The 21796-nt window shown below is 44.2% G+C and overlaps 1 protein-coding gene and 1 long non-coding RNA gene across 4 annotated transcripts in view; one reads left to right on the top strand and one right to left on the bottom strand.

Annotated features, from left to right (window-relative positions):
• Positions 1-2931, top strand: part of PROSER2-AS1 (PROSER2 antisense RNA 1) — a 45103-nt gene extending 42172 nt beyond the window's left edge. Inside the window, exon 6 of the long non-coding RNA NR_038222.1 lies at positions 783-2931. This is a non-coding gene — a long non-coding RNA (PROSER2 antisense RNA 1). The remainder of the gene's footprint in view (positions 1-782) is intronic.
• Positions 1-21796, bottom strand: part of PROSER2 (proline and serine rich 2) — a 48922-nt gene that overhangs the window by 19739 nt on the left and 7387 nt on the right. Inside the window, exons 2-3 of one of the 3 annotated variants that reach the window (XM_011519438.3) lie at positions 2331-2592; positions 324-542 (exon numbers count right to left, since the gene is read on the bottom strand). In XM_011519438.3, coding sequence (XP_011517740.1) covers positions 324-461 — 138 coding nt within the window. In that variant the 5' untranslated portion in view covers positions 462-542; positions 2331-2592. Of the gene's footprint in view, positions 1-323; positions 543-2330; positions 2593-21796 lie in introns of those variants that run through there. The other 2 variants (NM_153256.4, XM_047424963.1) reach the window with 2 other exon arrangements.

The following is a 21796-nucleotide window of genomic DNA, read 5'->3' as shown; positions in this document are numbered from 1 at the left end:
TCAACTGTGTTTATCGTGTGAGCTCTTCAGCAGCGCTCCTGCCTGGGTTGGTTTCTGCCCCGGGCCTGGTCCTATCTACGTCTAAGCAGCCATGAGTTACTGGCCACAGCGAGGGATTTGCTCCATGGCTATGGGTAATGCTCTGTATTTGTGCAAAATTTAAGATGATTAAAAATAAAGAACCACTTCACAAAGAAGTATTCCAGAACATCAAGCTAGTTGACCCAAAAAGATCTGGTAAAATATTCCTTCAAGGGAGAGGGATTGAGGCAAAATCCACTGACCCAGGCACAGGAAAGCATGAAAGAAAAACTGTCACTCACCAAAGTGAAGCTTCTGGAGCGAGAGCTGCTGCTTCGACTCTCCAGGCTGCCGCCTCTGCTGAAGGCTCGGAGCCTGCAGCTGGGGGACGTGTCTGAGTTCATGTCAGATGCGTCTGATTTCCGGTGGGTTACAGGCATCTCCACAGAGTCCTCAGGGCCGGCTCGATCACAGGAAGCAGGGCAGGAGCCAGCAGCCCATTCTGCGGCAACAGCTCACTCCTAGAGACACCAAACACGAATGACAATGGTCAGTAAGCCGAGACTGTAAAACGCCTCAATCCCTCAAAAACATGGCTTAGATTAATCTCCACTCTCAGACTCGACCATTAGGGTAAAGGCGATTGGGAAACGCTAAGTCAACCAGTTTGAGGATGCTGACTGCCATGTCTCCTTTATATTGTTAACCATTCTGAACACATAAGAATAATTTTTAAAAGTTTGTTGTTGTTTTTTTTTCAGAGATAGAGTCTTGCTATGTTGTCCAGGCTGACACTGAACTCTTGGGCTCCAACGATCCTCCTGCCCCGGCCTCCTGAGTACCTGGGATTATAGGCACAAGTCACCATGCCCAGCCGGAATAATCTGAAGGAAAGACGGGTATATTCAAGATGACTTTGCTGCTGGAAATATGACAGAATAATGTGGTATCTTCTTCTGCACTTCCAAGCTCTTTCACACTCAGGCTCTTCCTGGCTTTTCTGCCTCAGCCACCATAAACTGTGGTTGCTTCTCCAGCTCTGTTACAGTTCAGACTTGAGGGGAGGTGACAAGAGCTAACATGTTACCATGGGGAGCCTGGCTGACATCTCCGAAACTGAAGACTCTATGGAAGCCTCATGCTATTGCAATGTGTACATCAAAAGTAAAGTACCCCAGGTTAAAACTATGAGGAAGTTGCCATCTTTACTTCCAGGAGCAAAGACACTGAAACTGTCCCCTGTAAGCCCCTTAATTTCATACAGTCCTCTGACTGCCCCCCCAACCCTGGCTACTTTTTTTTGAAATAAGGTCTCACTCTGTCATCCAGGCTGGAGTGCAGTGGCAAAATCACAATACCCTGCAGCCTTGACCTCATGGGCTCAAGCAGTCCTCCCACCTCAGCCTCCTGGGTAGCTGGGACTACAGGCTTGCACTACCACACCCAGCTTATTTTTTGTAGAGACAGAGTTTCGTCATGTTGCCCAGGCTGGTCTCAGGAGTCACTCCTGAGCTCAAGTGATCCGCCTGCCTTGGCCTCCCACAGTGCTGGGATTACAGGAGTGAGCCACCATGTCTGGTCCTCTGACCCTTTTAGCAGGAAATCCAGCCCAGCCCCTGAACGGCATGTTAGACAGTTCAACAAAGCCTTCTAGAAGACCAAAGAAGACTCATAGGAATAAGCCTCTTGCTGATTAATGGAAACATGACCATTTGTGGAGAAAGTGCAATCTGCATTGAACACCTTTAGGGGAACCTGTCATTTAAGACTTCAAGCATTACCATGAAAACTTCCTCTGAAACACCTTACAGACATCTCTGTAAAACAGATTTAAAAAGAAACACATTTCTGCTTAATCGGTACACATCAAATGGCGATTTAAGAGCAAGGCTAGGAAACCAGAAGATGATATGCATATACATAAAGTTGCCACTATTCCAAATAGTAAAATAAAGACAAAGTCAATGGTCCTAGGAGAGCTGGTGGGTTGTGGAGCCAGGAGAGAAAGGCAGCTCCCTTCACCTTCCCTGTACATTCCAGGAGGCCCTAGAATGACCTAGATGGTGTTACGCACAAAGCCCTCCTTTTCCCATCCCGCCATCATCTCAGGAGCAAATGGCCACACTCGGGTATACGGAGCAGCTCAAGCAACCAGGTCTTCCTGCCATTCCCCTGAAAGGGCTGGTTTTGCCAAACGCCAGAGCCACATTGTGTTAATCAGCGCCCATCCCTAGACACAGGGGCTTGCAGCCTTGTCACACAAATGAGCCATGGAGATGTTTCCGACTCCTCCCCTCCCTGCCACTCACAAGCAGCCAGCTGCCGAGCCCTGCAGACTCTTCCTTTACGACGTCAGTTGTATCCACTTCCCTTCTGGTCCCACACCCAAGTTCAGGACCATTTTAGCACGTGCCTACATTATTGCCACAGCCATTGTCTTCATCTGTTTTGTGCTGCTGTACAAGGAACAAACTTATTTGGCTTGTGGTTTGGGAGGTTGGGAAATCCAAGATCCAGGGCCACATCTGCTGAAGGCCTTCCTGCTGTACCGTAACATAACGGGAGGCATCACTGGTGAGAGAGAGAGAGCACAAGAAAGGGCCAAACTCGCTTTTATAGTGAACCCACTCCTGCAATAACAACGTTCAAATGCTAACCACCTCTTCCCGTCCCTGCCCCTCAACATGGCCATGCTGGGGATTAAGTGTCCAACACATGAGCTTTGGGATACATGTTCCAACTACAGCCGCCACCTGCTGTCCTCCTTGCCTTCTCCCTCTTCTCTACACTTCTGCCGGATTCTCTAGTTGGATTAATCTTGAAACATCACTTAATTGTTACCACTCTCCCAAAAGCAGTCAATTTTAACCCATTCCCAACAGGCTTGAGAATAAAAGTTTCAGCCAATCAGTCATCACCTGCTTCCATCTGAACCCCATCTTCCTTTCTAGCCTAAGCATATTCTTTGATGCTTACTATTTTCCTACCTCACCTTGGGGAGATTCCAGGTACTAGAGAAAGGCAGATGAGTCAGAGGCTTCCCTTCCAGAGAGGAGCCCATCTATGCACTGATGCTTAACCCAGGCAATGGATCAGAAGCTCTCTGGGACTCAGACCTAGACCTACAGAATATATTTATGGGGGTAAAGGCTGGGAGTGTGCGTGTTTTTAAGGAGTTCCACAAGTGATTCTGCCACATAGCACCAACTGTAAGGGAAGACAGATATGTAACAATGTTCAGTGCCATTACAGGGAGTCCAGGAGGGCCCACCATGGCCCTAAGATTTAAGGAGACAGCTAGTTAAACTCTTTGTTTTTTTGTTTTTTTTTTGAGACGGAGTTTTGCTGTGCCGCCCAGGCTGGAGTGCAATGTTGCAATCTCGGCTTACCGCAACCTCCGCCTCCTGGGTTCAAGCGATTCTCCTGCCTCAGCCTCCCAAGTAGCTGGGACTACAGGCATGCGCCACCACGCCCAGCTAATTTTTGTATTTTTAGTATAGACGGGGTTTCACCATGTTGGCCAGGATGGTCTTGATCTCTTGACCTTGTGATCCGCCCGCCTCGGCCTCCCAAAGTGCTGGGATTACAGGCGTGAGCCACCACACCTGGCTTGTTAAACAAACTCTCCAAACACCACTTCAACATCACCCACTCCCATGGGCATTCCTAACAGAAAAAAGAATCAACAAAGATGTGGAAATGTAAGCCTGTTTGAAAAATGGCAAGTGCGCAGGATAAAGCAGTGAACTCAGCTCAAGCACAAGATACAACACGGGTTGCAAAACAGGTAGAGAGAGGTGCAAACTGGGGGGATGAGGTCAGCTGGACCTCAGTAAAAGCAGCTTTGATTTCTGAACTTTGCCGACAGGTAGGGGGGCACCAAGGGAGGTTTACGCCCTGCAAAGGGACAGGACCCACTTACAGTTTAGAAAGACGACTCTGGCCATGGTCTGAAGGGTGGGCAGAACCAAGAGAAGGCCCTGAAAGCAGTGAGGCTAACTGAACACCACACATTTGGCTTAAAAAGCAAGGGAAAGAACAGAGTGGGGGGCCAGGCACGGTGGCTCACGCCTGTAACCCCTGCACTTTGGGAGGCCAAGGTGGGTGGATCACCTGAGGTCAGGAGTTCGAGACCAGCCTGGCCAACATGGCGAAACCCCGTCTCTACTAAAAATATAAAAATTAGCCGGGCATGGTGGCAGGTGCCTGTAATTCCAGCTACTTGGGAGGCTGAGGCAGAAGAATTGCTTGAACCCAGGAGGCAAAGGTTGCAGTGAGCTGATATCATGCCACTGCACTCCAGCCTGGGCGGCAGAGTGAGACTCTGTCTCAAAATACAAAACAAACAAACAAACAAAAACAAAACAAAACAAAAACAAACCAGAGTGGGGCACACTCCCACTTTGACAGGGAAACAAAATATGTGTGTGAACCTCTGAAAAGATACACAAGGAAAATGACCATGGCTGACTCTGGGAAGAGAAATGGGTGAAGACGAGGATGGAGGGACACGCACTCTTACCAAATGATCTCCTTATCTTTGGAATGCTGCACATCTTAACTATTCAATAGATTATTTAAGAGGTAATAAAAACCGTTATCAAGTTATTTTATCAGTTCACAAAAGAGACGATGAAGATGTGAAAACTGTGGTGGCTGTCAGGTAAGAAGAGAAAAGCTGTGAGATCAAAGAGAAAGAATCCACGAAGTTTTAGAGTTTTAGTGGCTGACGTAAGGGAAGAAAACATTTCAACAGTGAGAGAAGTAACAGAAGCCACAGAAATTCAAAACAGAATAAGGGCTGGGCATGGTGGCTCACGCCTGTAATCCCAGCACTTTGGGAGGCCGAGGTGGGTGGATCACTTGAGGTCAGGAGTTTGAGACCAGCCTGGCCAACATAGTGAAACCCCATCTCTACTGAAAACACAAAAAATTAGCCAGGCGTGGTGGCAGGCACCTGTAATCCCAGCTACTCGGGAGACTGAGGCAGGAGAATTGTTTGAATATGGGAGGTGGAGGTTGCAGTGAGCAGAGATTGCGCCAATGCACTCCAGCCTGGGTGACAGAGCGAGACTCCGTCTCAAAACAACAACAACAACAAAACAAAACAACAAAACAGAATAAGGACTAAAAACCAGCCACTGACTCCATCAACTAAGGTGACCTTGTGAAGGCGGGTTAGAAATCACACTGCAGCGGGCTGCGCTGGGAACAGCAATCCTGGAAGCAGATGGTTAGTGGTTTTTGAATTTGGGGTGAAAAGAGTAACAGAAAAGAGAGATGAGGCAATAGCTGTAGAGGAAAATGGGGTTGAAGAAAAGCATTTTGGATTCATATATATATATATATATATATATATATATTTATTTATGTTTTTCTTTTTTTTCTTTAAGAATAGGAGACACTTGAGCCTAGTCATGAGCTATGGGAAAAAGTTGGGGAAAAGAGAAGGTAAAACCCTGGACAGGCTGGGAGTGGTGGCTCACGCCTGTAACCCCAACACTTTGGGAGGCCGAGGTGGGAGGATTGCTTCAGGCCAGGAGTTTGAGACCAGCCCGGGCAACATAGAGATGCCCCCCGACCCCACCCCAACTCTACCAAAAATAGCAAAATCAGCCAGGCGTGGTGGTGCGTGCCTGTAGTCTCGTGAGGTGGGTGGATGGCTGGAGCCCAGGAATCTGAGGCTGCAGTGAGCTATGATTATACAACTGCACTCTGGCCTGCGTGACAGAGCTGGCCATCTCTAAAACAAACAAACAAACAAAACCCAAACCAAATCCCAGAAACTTTCCTCTCTGGCAGTTAGACAGACTCCATGGCCTGGCCGGCCTGTTCAAAGCTGTTTCAGTGCTGGATGAAATATAAAACACCTGTGACTCCCTGCTTCCAGCGACAGGCAGGAGGAAATGCTATCGACCTAAAAAATAAGCAGAGTAATGTAAAAAACAACCAAATACAACTTTTTATGAAGAAAAAATTGATAACAAAGAAAAAACTCGACAGATGGCATAAACAGAAGATCAAATATAGCTAGAGAGAGAATGACAGAAAGAAAAATGATCTGAAGAAACCTATCATTTGTCCAGATTGTAGCACAGAGAGATGTGAAAACCAATGAGAGGTTAAGAGACCCAACACAGGTTGAGAAGGTTTATGTCTATGTCTAAGGTTTGTGTTTAACTGGAGTTTCTCAGAGGGGAGGAGAGCTGATGTGGCAGAAGTAATGTTCAAGGCCAGGCATGGTGGCTCACACCTGTAATCCCAGCACTATGGGAGGCCGAGGCAGGTGAATCACTTGAGGTCAGGAGTTCGAGACCAGCCTAGCCAACATGGTAAAAACCCGTCTCTACTAAAAATACAAAAATGAGCCGGGCGTGGTGGGGCACACCTATAATCCCAGCTACTTGGGAGACTGAGGCAGGAGGGTCGCTTGAAACCGGGAGGTAGAGGATGCAGTGAGCCGAGATCGCACCACTGCACTCCAGCCTGGGCAACAGAGTGAGACTCCATCTCTAAAATGAATGAATGAATGCATGAATGAATGAATGAATGAAGTAATGTTTAAGGAGACAATGGCTGAGCGTGTTTCACAATGGATGAAAGATACTAGGTGGTATAGCTTCAGTCTGAGGGTCCCCCCACCAGAACCATTCTCCAGCTTTCTCTAGCCTCACTCTCCTGCCTCAGGAGCAGGAATGTATCAGATGGGCACCCTTGCTGTGGGGCTGCTGGTTGAGTCCAGCCAATGAGACCCCAGCACGCAAGGCAGGCTGCCAGCTCCCTGCAGGCTGCTGGGTCCCGCCGAGGACCCCAGCCTCTGCCCTTCCTCTCAGCTCCCTCCCCGGGTTCCACAGCTCCCTCCCTTTCCCCGAGGGCCTAGGGGTGCTAACAGCTACCGAGTGTTGCTGTCCTCTAGGTACCGAACCATCCTCTGTTGCTTTCCCTAACCCTGCCTGTATTTTTTGTAAATAATCTAAGTATTAAACTTTCCTCAATTATTCATTTTTGTGTGTATCCTCTATATCCTGCTTACTGATAAAGACATCAAGTCACAGACAGAGGAATTCTGATGAATCCCAAACAGAATACAAATTTTAAATGTACTATTAGACAATCACAATGAAACCACAGAACACCGAAAACAAGAAAAAGTTAAAAGCAGCTACAAATCTTGAAAGCAGCCTCAAAACCGTAGTTAAAAGGCTGTGGGGAAACAAGGTGCTCCGAGGTTCCGCTGGTGGGGGTGTAAACTGGCATAACCCCTCAGGGGGCAACCGCATAGTATCTATCAAAATGTAAAATATATTCCCACGCACCTAGCAATTCCATTTGGGGAAATTTATCCTACCGAGAAATTGCACACACACACAGGGACATATGTATTAGGTTGGTGCAAAAGTAATCAGGTTTTTTTCCATTATTTTCAATGGCAAAAGTCGTGATTACTTTTGCACCAACCTTATAATGTTATTCACTGTAGGATTGTCTGTAATAACAAAAATCCCCCAAAAAACCTAAGTGTCTCACATAAGGGGCTGGTTAAATAGAGTACATCCATGTAACTGAATACTAATCAGCTGTATAAAGAATGCGGAAGGCTGGGAGTGGTGGCTTATGCCTGTAATCCCAGCACTTTGGGAGGCCAAGGCGGGCGGATCACTTGAGGTCAGGAGTTTGAGACCAGCCTGGCCAACATGGTGAAACCCTGTCTCTAGTAAAAACACAAGTATTAGCCAGGCGTGGTAGCTCATGCCGGTAATCCCAGCTACTCGAGAGACTAGGGTGGGAGAATCGCTTGAACCCAGGAGGCAGAGGTTGCAGTGAGCTGAGATCGTGCCACTGCACTGCAGCCTGGGTGACAGAGCGAGACTCCATCTCAAAAATAAAAAAGAATGAGGAAGCTCTCCATGTACTGATGAGTAAAGATCTCTAGGTATATTACTGAGCAAAAAAATGCAAAGTCTAGGACTATATATAAAATACTATGCATTGTGTAAAACCAAGAGATTACAGATTAAGAATGTATATTTGTATTTGTTGTTACATGCATAAGAAACTTTGGAAGGATATACAAGTCAAGAACAATTGTTGGGCGTGAGGGGTAGAAGTGAGTTGAGGACAAGAGTTAAATGTAGAGTTTTTAGAAATATAATTACCTTTTCTTTTTTAACCATATGAATGTATTACCTTTTGAAAAACTTAAAGATACTGTAAAAATATTCAAAGTGGCTGGGTGCAGTGGCTCATACCTGTAATCCCAGTGCTTTGGGAGGCTGAGTGGGAGCATTTCTTGAGGTTGGGAGTTCAAGACCAGCCTGGGCAACATAGTGAGACCTTATCTCTATAAGAAATTTAAAAAATAGCCAGGCACGGCAGGACATGCCTATAGTCCTAGCTGCTGGGGAGGCTGCAGTGGGAGGATCACTTGAGGCCAGGAGTTGGAGGTGGCAGTGAGCTGTGATCATGCCACTGGACTCCAGCCTAGGGGGCAGGGCAAAGACCCTGTCTCAATCAATCAAATGCACTCAAAGAAAAGACAGATTATTTTCAAAGAAGTGATAATTAGACTGACTTCTTGAAACAGCAACAATGGAAACAATCCCATTGAGAAAAAAAAAAAACCCTCAACCTAAATCTATATGTACTATAAAAATATTCTTTTTTTTGAGATGGAGTTTCACTCTATCACCCAGGTTGGAGTGCAGTGGCATGATCTTGGCTCGCTGCAACCTCTGCCTCCCAGGTTCAAGTGATTCCCCTGCCTCGGCCTCCCAAGTAGCTGGGATTGCAGGAGCCCACCACCACGGTGGGCTAATTTTTTTTTTTTTTTTTGAGACAGAGTCTCGCTCTGTCGTCCAGATTGGAAGGCAGTGGTGCGATCTCGGCTCACTGCAACCTCTGCCTCCCAGGTTCTAGCAATTCTCCTGCCTCAGCCTCTCGAGTAGCTGGGACTATAGGCGTGTGCTACCACGCGCCTATAATTTTTGTATCTTTAGTAGGGACGGGGTTTCACCATGTTGGCCAGGATGGTCTCGATCTCTTGACCTCATGATCTGCCCGCCTTGGCCTCCCAAAGTGCTGGGATTACAGGCGTGAGCCACCGCACCCGGCCTTTTTTTGTATTTTTAGTAGAGATGGGGTTTCACCATGTTGGCCAGGCTGGTCTTGAACTCCTGACCTCAGGTGATCCGCCTGCCTCTGCCTCCCAAAGTGCTGGGATTACAGGTGTGTGCCACTGCACCTGGCCTATAAAAATATTCTTTCAGGAACAATGGCAAGGCTGGGTGCGGTGGCTCGCACCTGTAATCCCGGCACTTTGGGAGGCCGAGGTGGGCGGATCACGAGGTCAGGAGATCAAGACCATCCTGGCTAACATGGTGAAACCCCGTCTATACTAAAAATACAAAAAATTAGCCGGGCATGGTGGCGGGCGCCTGTAATCCCAGCTACTCGGGAGGCTGAGGCAGGAGAATGGTGTAAACCCAGGAGGCGGAACTTGCAGTGAGCCGAGATCGTGCCACAGCACTCCAGCCTGGGCGACAGAGCAAGACTCCATCTCAAAAAAAAAAAAAAAAAAAAAAAAAAAGAACAATGGCAAAATAGTATAGAAAATGAGGAGTTCTGTTTCATCTGAAACCAAGACAGGCTGAAAAATACACACATTCACGCACACATATGTACATGTATACATACATATATTTGGGAAAAACTGCTGAAGATTATAACTGCTGAAAATCTGTACCTCAGATTAAAAAAAGTCTGTGGAAAAAAAGACCAAAGGAAAATGTTATAAATTTCTATATAAATAAAAACAGAGCGAGTCGGCTACCAATAGAGCACAGTTTTAAAAAGGCTCTATTTCAGGGAGGAAAGATTTGGACTAAAAATGCGAGTAAATGTAAACAAACAGTATATCAAACAGTCTTGTTTTCTACTACAAGGCAGAGCTGAAACACACCACAGTGACAGCACACACATGGGAGGGAGGGGATTTGAGTTTTGGAGGAAGTTAAAATGTTGACCAACTTTAAAATTGTATAAGCATTCATGTTAAAATTTCTAGAGAAACCACTAAAAAAAAACCCAGAACATTTACCATCTAAATTAGAGGAGGGGATAAATGAAAGATTAAAAAAAAAAATCATTCCAAAAGAAGGCAAGGACAAAAGACAAAACAGAAGAGGACAAATAAAAAGCACAAATTATGATAAAAATGTAAATATTTGCATAATTACATTTAATGGAAAATGATCCAGTTAAAATAAAAACATTGTCACACTGGATTTTTTTTTTTTTTGAGACTGAGTCTTACTCTGTAACCAGGCTGGATTGCAGTGGCGCGATCTCAGCTCACTACAACCTCCACCTCCCGGGTTCAAGCGATTCTCTTGCCTTAGCCTCTCAAGTAGCTGGGACCACAGGCTCACGTCACCATACCCGGCAAATTTTTTGTATTTTAGTAGAGATGGGGTTCCACATGTTGCCCAGGCTGGTCTCAAACTCCTGAGCTCAGGCAATCCGCCTGCCTCGGCCTCCCAAAGTGCTAGGAAGCCTGGCCTTTCGCACACCTTTCTTGGCAACTGATTTATCAAGCCTGAGAATACAGAAGACTTAAACAATATAATGGGAAGTTTGATCTCATCAAGATTTACAACACATTATACGCAACAGCTTCACAATACACATTCTTTCAGACTCATGCAGAATACGTAGGAGAACTGATGACATGGGGTCAGAAAGCAAGTCTCAGCAAATTTTAAGAGACTGGTATCAAATATATATTTGTTTACTACAAAGCAATTAAATTAGAAATCAATAGACTAAAGGTAACTGGAAGAACCCATGTGTGTAGGCACTAGGAATTTATACTTCTAAATAACTCTCAGAAACAATATTGGGAATTGAGAAATACTCGTAAGTAAATAACAGAAACGCTACCTATCGAAACCTGTGGGATGCAGCTCAAACATCACTGAAATGCCTGTGACATTAGGCAAGAAGGCTGAAATTTAATGAACCAAGCATCTAACTTAAGTTAGGAAAAACCCAAAAGAATAAATACAAAATCAACAAGAAAAAGAACATGAAATTAAATAGAAAAACATACAGTAGAGAAAAATAAAACAAAAAATTGGTTTTTGAAAATATTAATAAAATTGACAAACTTTCAACAGAACTGAGGGGAAAAATGGATGAACAATATCAGAATAAAAAGTGGGGACATAACTGTAGGTGCCATGGGTGTTGAAAAGGTTTTTATGAACAATTTTATGCTAGTAAATTTGAAAGCATGGATGAAATGGACAAATTCCTGGAAGAATATCTCGTTAAAGCTTATTCAAGAATAAAATAAAAAATCTGAAGTCTTATAACCACTAATGAAAATGAATCGGCAGACAAAAATCTTTCAATAGTGAAAAGCAGGTGAGAAAGTTTTGCTGGAGAGTTCTACCAAACATTCAAGGAACAAATAACTCCAACCTTACACAAACTTTTCCAGAGAAGAGAAAAACAACCCCCACCATCATATATATATATATATATATATATATATATATATATTTTTTTTTTTTTTTTTTTTTTTTTTTTTTTTTTGAGACAGTCTCACTCTGACGCCCAGGCTGGAGTGCAATGGTGCAATCTTCGCTCACTGTAACCTCCGCCTCCCTGGTTCAAGCGATTCTCCTGCCTCAGCCTCCCAATTAGCTGGGATTACAGGCATGAGCCACCACGCCCAGCTAATTTTGGTATTTTTAGTAGAGACAGGGTTTCGCCATGTTGGCCAGGCTGGTCTCGAACCCCTGACCTCAGGGTGATCCACCTGCCCTGGCCTCCCAAAGTGCTGGCCAAGGGATGAGCCACCGCGCCTGGCCCCCACTATCTAATTTTGAGGCTACTAAAACCTTGACACCAAAACCCAAAGAATATATGAGAAAGGAAAAATGACAAGCCAGTCATTTAAGAATGCAGATGCAAAAAGTCCCAAATAAAATTATTAGTAAACTGGGTCTATAAACCAAATAATGATAAAGAAGAGTTAATCCCAAGATTGTAAGGTTGGCCTAACATTAATTTTCCAACGTGATGTAGCACATTAACAGGTTAAATTAGAAAAGCCATTCAATCATCTCAATAGATGATGAAAGAAGCATTTGAGAAACTTAAAATTATGCAGAAATGTTTTTAAAACTTCACAAATTAGGAGGAATTTTTTTGTTAACTAAATAAGAGTTTTTCTTTTTTTTTTTTTTAATGACAACAAATGAGGACAGCGTGGTGGCTCACACCTATAATCCCAGCACTTTGGGAGGCCAAGGCAGGAGGATCACCTGAGGTCAGGCTTTTGAAACCAGCCCAGCAAAGATGGCGAAACCCCATTTCTACTAAAAATACAAAAATTACCCAGGGGTGGAGGAGTGTACCTGTAGTCCCAGCTACTTGGGAGGCTGAGGCAGGAGAATCACTTGAGACTGGGAGGCTGAGGTTGCAGTGAGCTGAGATCATGGCCACTGCACTCCAGCCTGGGTGACAGAGCTAGACCTTGTCTCAAAAATAAATAAATAAATAAATAAAATGAAAATAAAAATAAAAATAAATGACAGCAAACACCATACTTACTGGAAAATATTAAAAATCATTCCTATTTTCACCACTGCTATTCCATATTGTATTTTAAGTCTTTTTTTTTTTTTTTTGAGACAATCTCACTCTGTTGCCCAGGCTGGAGTGCAGTGGTATGATCTCAGCTCACTGCAACCTCTGCCTCCCGGGTTCAAGCGATTCTCCTGCCTCAGCCTCCCGAGTAGCTGGGATTACAGGTGCCCCCCACCACATCTAGCTAATTTTTGTGTTTTTAGTAGAGACGGGATTTCGCCATGTTGCCCAGGCTGGTCTTGAACTCCTGACCTTATGATCTGCCCACCTTGGCCTCTCAAAATGCTGGGAGTACAGGCGTGAGCCACCGCGCCCAGCCAAGGAGTTATTATAAAGTAGCAGTAAGTAAAACACAAGGCACTGGTACTAGGATAGACAGCAGTGAAACAGACTGGAAAGTTTTATTTCTATCCAACAGAAATCGCTTGATATAAATTGCAAGTATTTTTTTAAAATTTGTAATATGACCTAAAGAATTTATTTTTATGTAGTTGAATTTATCAATCTTTTTGTTTATAGCTTGTGTTTTTGCAAATTTAGGCCTTTCTTACTCTAAGAATATAGAATATACCTCTCGAATTTCTACTAGCATTTTTATGGTTCCACTTTTCATATTTAAATATCTGATCTGCCTTGGATTTATGTCAGTGTAATGTGTGGAGTAGAGACCTGCTCCCTGCCCTCAAGCCAAGAAGGTTATCCGACAGCTCAAGTGCCAAGTACTGAAGGACCCATCTTTTACCACTGTTTTGAAATACTAATGTTGTTTGTACTAAATGTTTATATGTTTTTGGTTCTATTTCTGAATTTCCTATTTTGCTCTATTAATCTTTCTATTCATTAGGACTCAAAAAATACAAGTTATAAGGTGAAAATTTCAATGCATCTGTCTACATAAAAATTAAGGACACCATAGACAATATTAAGAGAAAAGCTGCCAGCTCATAGAAGATATGTACTATGTCTAATACGTATAAGGAATTGATAGCTAGAATATAAGAAAACCTTCTAAACTAATAAGAAACTCAGAAAAAAATAATGAACAAGGAATATGATTAGACAGTGTACAAACGAGGAAACCAGATGATTATTAAGTACAAGACAGATGTTCAACCTCACTAGTGAACAAAAAAAGTGCAAGCTAAAACTACTACATTATTTAATACCTACTGGAGTGGCAAAAATTAGACAAAAAATAACAAGTGTCAGCAAGAATGTGGGTCAACCTTGGTGAACCTGCTGGGAATGAATTCATACAACCTTTCTGTAGGGCAACTGGGCAATACTTAGAGAAACTAAGCGTGTCCTACGAGCCACACATTCCACTGCTCAGCCTTCACTCCAGGGGAGCTGTCTACTAGGAACATGTGGAAACACGTGCCGGGATGGGTATACAGTGTTGCCTGCTGTTGAGAAGAGTTGGTGGCAGTCCAGGTTCTTCGCCTACCATGAACTTTCTATAAGTAGAAACGTGGTAAATGCTTACTACGGAATACTGCACATCAGTTAGATCAGCTGGATGAGGCCATGCACAGACCTTCAAAGCACTCAATGAAAAGTCAGAGTTAGATTCTTAGTGCAATTCTATTCATGTACATTTAAAACCCAGCGCTGTATTTTACATGCATAGCCAGGCCCGAATGCCACTGGTGAGTCTGGGGGGTGAGTGTGTGTCGGGGGCATGACCTGATTGTTCTAAAATAGACACCCGCCCGCCTCACTCACCGGAGGGCACCTGAGTCTGGCTGCTACCAACACAGAAAGGAAAGGTTTCCTGGAGGTTAAAGAAATGATTTATCAGGTCATTTCAGCACCTTGGAGCCTTTGAAAGACCCAGTATGTCAGGAGATGATACAGGCAGATAAGTTATGATCTAATGAGGGAAGAAAAGACAGGCACCACCTAGAAACCCCGGGGCAATTCAGGAGGGAAGTCCGAAGACCGCAAGGGTGTACGAACAGGAAGAGGAAAAACCCCGAAGGTAACCTTTTCTAGCATCACAGTTCAGCTCAAAACTAACCAGGGAACGGTTAACCCAACGCACTTTACTGAAGAATCTAAGCTGGAACAAATAATATGAAGTTTCTCACATTCTACTATTAGGTTTTGCACCGAGGAAATGTGAGGGAAAGAAATCGTGTCTTATAAGACTTGGATTCCCTACAGACAGCTTCAACCAAATCACAAGGTCATTACTGTCTTTGGTAGTTCTGAACGTGAATGGAAAAATTATTCCCCTTAACCAAGTGATGTAGAACCAATCTTGCTTAGTATGTCTATGTTACGCAACTCATTGCCATTGCAAACACTTCACAAAAACAGGTCCAGGCTGGGTCTGAAGACAACCCCATGTACCTATATTGCTGCAGTTCTCCCTTCTCTGAGGGGGTATGTTCCAAGACCCTCAGTGGATGCTTGGATCTGCAGACAGCACCAATCCCAACCCGTCTGCCAGCAATCGGAGCTCGTGTTCATGTCTTCTACCTACAAATGTCCCTAAGCACTTGTCACACAGTGGTCATAACTTGAACGTATGAAGTGTGACAGCAAAACTAATATAAATTTCTTTTTCCTTCTTCACACCTTCACAGACAGAAGATGATTTGTTCTTACAGTAGGTCTCAGCGACCTCAGCATTTGATTTTTTTTTCTTCTCCAAGTTCAGAACTTTCACATCTTTTCACTTAAAGGAAGCACTTGGTAGCTTCTCTTCAGCATATACAAATTACCAGCCAGCATCATGCCTCTTCTGCTTCAGGGCCATTATTAAATAAAAGTGACTTGAACATAAGCACGGCCACATAGACAGCTGATCTGAGAACTGAGTTGGCTACTAAGTGATGGGCAGGTGGGGACTCCGGGCAAAGGAGGATTCGCATGCAGGAGGCAATGGATCAGAACGACGCATTTCATCCCACTACTCAGAATGGTGCACAATTTAAAACTTATGAAGGATTTATTTCTGGAATTTTCCATCGCATATTTTTGGACCACGGTTGACTGCAAGTAACCGAAACTATGGAAAGCAAAACCGTGTATAAGAGAGGACTTCGGTATAGGTTTATAGACTCTCCTACCTTGTCCAGACACCCACCATTAACCAGCACTTTTAAGATACAGTCAAGACAAGCACAGTTGAGCTGGGAAAGAGGTAGAAATGAGCTTCTAAAAGACATCCCCCTTCCTGTGTCAGGATATACAGTAGGGCAGAGGTCAGTGAGCATACTTACACACTACAGCAGGGTCAAAGTGCACACCTACACGCTAGGAAGGGGCCGGCGTGCATACCATGAATTTTGTGAAGATTTGTTCCAAAATATAGAATAAACATATCTTAGGAAAGAAATTGTCTTTAAAGCGACATCCTGGCCAGGCGTGGTGGCTCACACCTGTAATCCCAGCACTTTGGGAGGCCGAGGTGGGAGGATCACCTGAGGTCAGGAGATCGAGACCAGCCTGGCTAACATGGTGAAACCCCATCTCTACCAAAAATGCAAAAATTAGCCGGGTGTGGTGGTATGCGCCCGTAATCCCAACTACTTGGGAAGCTGAGATGGGAGAATCGCTTGAACCTGGAAGGTGGAGGCTGCAGTGAGTGGAGATCACACCACTGCACACCAGCCTGGCCAACAGAGTGAGACTCTGTCTCAAAAAAATAAAAAAAATTAGCCGGGCATAGTGGTGGACGCCTGTAATCCCAGCTACTCGGGAGACTGAGGCAGGAGAATCGCTTGAACCCAGAAGGCCGAGGTTGCAGTGAGCCAAGATCGTGCCACTGCACTGCAGCCTGGGCGACAGAGTGAGACTCTGTCTCTAGATAAATAAATAAAGCCACATCCCCCCAAAATCCCTATATGGTGACTTAACAGCCAAGCCCTTTTCAAAAAGCTGTGTTTTCCTTGACCTTCAAGAGCACCATGAATGAGAGCGTTTCACGGTGGGAACTCTTTCTGAATCACCCCGCTCACTACCATGAGTGGGCTTCTTCATATGGGGAAGCGGTGGGTGAAAATAAAGATCAGTAAACACAAAACAGCCATTGTTGGCCCTAATGCTAGTGGCTCTTGACGACATTCATCCATGTGAACAGGCATCAGTGTCTTCTATGTGACAGGCACTTTGCTTTGATTTTACTCAAACGAAGAAAAGAGTCCTGTTTTTTCATAGTTTCTATCTGGTTCTGTGTTACTTCCTATTTTTATGTAATTGTGTATTAACAAAAATGAGTTTTATAATAAGAAATGTACTGGAAAAGGAAGCAATGAATGATGTCAAGACTCTTGTAGAGTTTTTTAAACTCAATTCATAAATTGAAGGAAACTGAGTCCATACATTCTTTGTTTTCTATTATTCGACTTAAGTAGGGCTTTAAAAAACAAAAACAATCCCTTAGACTAAATTAACCATTTCCTTTTTACTCTAAAAGTAATTTATAGACTACTTTCGTAAAAATAGGATTTTACCCTAGTTATCATGACACACCCGAGAGCTCTGAGCACACGCCTGGTTCCTTCTCTACGTTCACACACCTAGCCCAATGTCCATGTCATCCCTGTCCCCACCACACTAAAGTTGCACATTCATACACAAGTGCACAGAGCCAACTTCAGGCAGAGGTAAGAGGAGCTGGGGCTCCTAGAGCGTTTTCTTCCTCCAAGGTCAAAAGAAACCAACACTCATACCACACCCACCTGTAAACTACCAGATATTGCAATAACTAACACTTCTTTTTCTTTTTCTTTTTTTTTTTTTTTTTTAAGACAGATTCTCACTCTGTCGCCCAGGCTGGAGTGCAGTGGCATGATCTCAGCTCACTGCAACTTCTGCCTCCCGGGTTTGAACAATTCTCCTGCCTCAGCCTCCCAAGTAGCTAGGATTACAGGCACCTGCCACCATGCCTGGCTAATTTTTGTATTTTTAGTAGACACAGGGTTTCACCATGTTGGCCAGGCTGGTTTCGAACTCCTGACCTCAAGTGATCCACCCATCTCAGCCTCACAAAGTGCTGGGATTGATTACAGGCGTGAGCCACTGCGCCCAGCCTCAATAACTAACATTTCTAAAATCCCAGTTTACTCTTGATACCACAGGCCAGGCAAGGTGGCCGAGTTTTATGTATTTATTTTTTTGAGATGGAGTCTTGCTCTGTCACCCAGACTGGAGTGCAATGGTGCGATCTTGGCTCACTGCAACCTCCACCACCTGGGTTCAAATGATTCTCCTGCCTCAGCTTCCTGAGTAGCTGGGATTACAGGTATGCACTACCATACCCGGCTAATTTTTGTATTTTTAGTAGAGATGGGGTTTCACCAGGTTGGCCAGGCTTGTCTCGAACTCCTGACCTCAGATGATCCACCAGCCTCGGCCTCCCAAAGTGCTGGGATTACAGGCATGAGCCACCACGCCCTGCCAGGTGGCTGAGTTTTCATTTTCCTCATCTGTACTGCCAAGGAGCCGATCTGTAAGAACGTGAGGCTTTAAAAAGTGTCTCTCTAGAATCTGGCCTAGCCTTGTCTCTTCCACCTTCCTTTCCACAATTTGAACCAGGTCTCCTATGAAAGTGCTACTCATGGCCAGGCGCGGTGGCTCACGCCTGTAATCCCAGCACTTTGGGAGGCCGAGGTGGGTAAGTCACGAGGTCAAAAGATCGAGATCATTCTGGCTAACATGGTGAAACCCTGTCTTTACTAAAAATACAAAAATTAGCTGGGTGTGGTGGTGAGTGCCTGTAATCCCAGCTATTTGGGAACCTGAAGCAGGAGAATCGCTTGAACCCGAGAAGCAGAGGTTGCAGTGAGCTGAGACTGCACCACTGCACTCCAGCCTAGGCGACAGAGCGAGACTCTATCTCAAAAAAAAAAAAAAAAAAAAAAAAAAAAGAAAGAGCTACTCACTTGGGAACCCCTTCCCACTGCCTCCCTGCTGCCCTCCTCCCAGGCTTCAAAGCTTGGCTCAAAAACTCTACCGAACATGGTCAAGCCTTCGTGACTCCTTCATCACTGGCCTCCCCGCCGGACTCTCATGTCTGCTGTTGATACCCACCACTTGCTCACTCTATGTGCCATTTTTCCCACTTGGATACAATTGATCCCATAAGGTTTCTGCATGTAATTCTTGTTTTCCTCCATTAGACGATAAACTCCTTGTAGGCAAAGCTCTTTTTTTGTGTTTTGAGATGGAGCCTCACTCTTGTCACCCAGGCTGGAGTGCAATGGCATGATCTCGGCTCACTGCAACCTCTGCCTCCTGGGTTCAAAAGATTCTCCTGCCTCAGCCTCCAGGGTAACTGGGACTACAGGCACCAGCCACCACACCCAGCTAATTTTTGTATTTTGAGTAGAGATGGGGTTTCACCACGTTGGCCAGGCTGGTCTCGAACTCCTGACCTCAGGTGATCCACCCCTCTTGGCCTCCCAAAGTGCTGGGATTACCGGTGTGAGCCACCACACCCAGCCGGCAAAGCTTTTTAATTAAAAAAATTTTTTTGGAGATGGGGTCTCATTACATCACCCAGGCTGGCCTGAACCACCTGGGCTCAAACAATCCTCCTGCCTCAGCTTCCCGAGTTGGGACTACAGGTGTGAGCCACTGCACCCAGCAAAGAACTAAAAAAAAAAAAAAAAAAAAAGCCACAACATTTTGTATAATACTTGTCACAAAATACAGACTTAATCACTATTTGTTACTTAACCAAAATTCATATTTAAAAACTCTAAAACCAGCCGGGTACAATGGCTCATGCCTGTAATCCCAGCACTTTGGGAGGCTGAGGTGGGCGGATCACTTGAGGTCAGGAGTTTGAGACCAGCCTGGCCAACAAGGTGAAATGCTGTCTCTACCAAAAAATACAAAAATTAGCCGGGCATGGTGGCGTGTGCCTGTAATCCCAGCTACTCGGGAGGCTGAGGTGGGATAATTGCTTGAATTTGGGAGGTGGAGGATGCCCTAAGCAAAGACTGAGCCACTGCACTCTAGCCTGGGTGACAGAGTGACACCCTGTCTCAAAAACAAAACAAAACTCTAAAACCATCTAAATAAAAAAAAAAGAGCACCCTAAAAACAGACCTTGGATCTAAAAGAAAAGCTTAAATACTTAAGAGTAGTTTCAGACATGTTAACATCAGTGTGGTTATTATCCCTCCCTCTCCACCATATTTATAGATCAAGTCCTTCCAATTTAGGAGAAATTAATCTCATCCAATTTATACATTTAAATCGGGACATGGGGCGGTGGAGGGGAGTGAGTTTAAACACACAGCAGTAGAAAGGACGTTTAACCCAGCTTCATAAATAACGATGTATTAAAAAGTTGACACCAATAAACATTACACACGCTAACCCAGTAACGCCTCCCAATATTAACAGGTAATCCATGTCAATATGAATGTGTATGCTCTACACGTGTAATCCATGAACAAAATTAATCTTAAAAATGGGCCTCCACAGAAATACAGAGGCTGCAGTAAAATAAATATGAAGCATATGAAGCAACTACTCTTTAGTCTGCGCTATTTCTCAATTTCAAGAAAAAAACCTTGGAAAGAAAAGAATGCTTCCAAAAATTCTCCCTAAGCAAACGAGGACTATATCCCAGCACTGAAGATCAAAGAAAGATCCAGGTGGAAGTTGGCTGCTGGGAGTGTGGGCAGTTTTGTTCTGGAGTTTGAAACATTGATGCGGTCACGGTTTAGCACCCTTTTCCTATGATTCTGCTTTTCCTCCAAACTGGGATTTCCCTTACTTCTGAAATGCCTTACGTAAGAACTTAGAACCTTAAACACAGATTTTAAAAGGCTAGTAATTCTACTTCCTGGAAGAATGATCATGCTTTCACTTATTTTTTTAATTTTAAATTTATTTTTTTAAAATAAAAAGCACTTTCTGAACAATATACAAAAACGAGGTTGATTTCAAACTGTCTCTGTTGTGAATAGTTTCAGCTGTGTTAATAGGAGCAGTGATTTACTCCCAGCCACACATCACATGGAAGTAATTGATTTCGCCCACACTTAAAGCAAACAAGTTCACCAGGTCGCCTTACCTAGAGAGGCTGGGTTTTAACAGGCCTCGAGGGAAGAAGTTTCCTAGTGTCGGTTCGCCATCACTGAAAAAGATACCAAAACCAGATTTTCCTAAAGTAAAATCTCACCTGAAAACAATCTTGACCAGACATCTGATTGGGTCCTAGTAACAAAAAGGAATGACCCAGAAGGAAGGCGAGGGGAGGTCAACCAGAGCAGAGTCTAGCTGGGGAACAGTTCTAGCTGATGCAATGTTTGCAAACTGGTATCAATCTCCGAGGTTTTGGAAAATAATGAAAATTGAAAAAAGAAATGTTTGTGAAGAGAGACACTGCATGTTTTTTACTCAGCTCATTTTTGAAAAATGGACAGCTGGTATGTCTATTACATTTCTGGATTCCTGAGCAAATTATTTATGGATAGAAGAAAATTCCAGTTGAAGTCATTCTACTTTTGTGAAACAAGTTTGTGTGCTTTGTCTTTATTTGCTTAGCAAATATTACCGAGCACCCAATATGTGCTTCACTAATGAGATAAATGTAGTACTTCTTGCTAGGAAGGAATTATTACACCTTATTGTTTAGGGTTCTACAGTGCTCCCCCAACACCCCCACCCCAAGAAGCTCAAAATTCTTGGCTGAATTTTTAATCCATGCTCCCAGTGAAAAGAAAGCTGGCTTAGAGCATGTTCATTTAGCACTGGTATTTATAACACCTGGTTAGACTGGCAGCCGTGGTCTGATTTACATATCTTATCTCAAGTTGAACAGATTTAAATCCACACCAGGGTGGAAGAAGCTCACACAAGACCTCCTGGTGGGAATCCAAAGCATGAAACTTTTAACCTCATCTTCCACCAGTCCCTTTGCGAGCCAGATGATGGATGATGTCAGTAAGGTGAGGCCAGTAACCACCTCCTCTCTGGGCAGGAGCTAGAGGCTGCTTCTCCTCCCGCTCTTCCTATACCTCTGGGGAACCTGCTAGCAAATTCCTCAAGTCAATCCAAGCCTGTGGGCACAAAGGCATTACCCAGTTTTAATAGGGCAGAGAGAAAGCAGGGGTTTTTAGCACATTTTTAAGCAATGGGGACCACCAAATGT

Source organism: Homo sapiens, chromosome 10 (genome assembly GCF_000001405.40).
Source record: "Homo sapiens chromosome 10, GRCh38.p14 Primary Assembly".
NCBI classification, from domain to species: Eukaryota; Metazoa; Chordata; class Mammalia; order Primates; family Hominidae; genus Homo; species Homo sapiens.
Note: the sequence above shows the minus strand (reverse complement) of the source record. Positions and strands in the feature narration are given on the sequence as shown.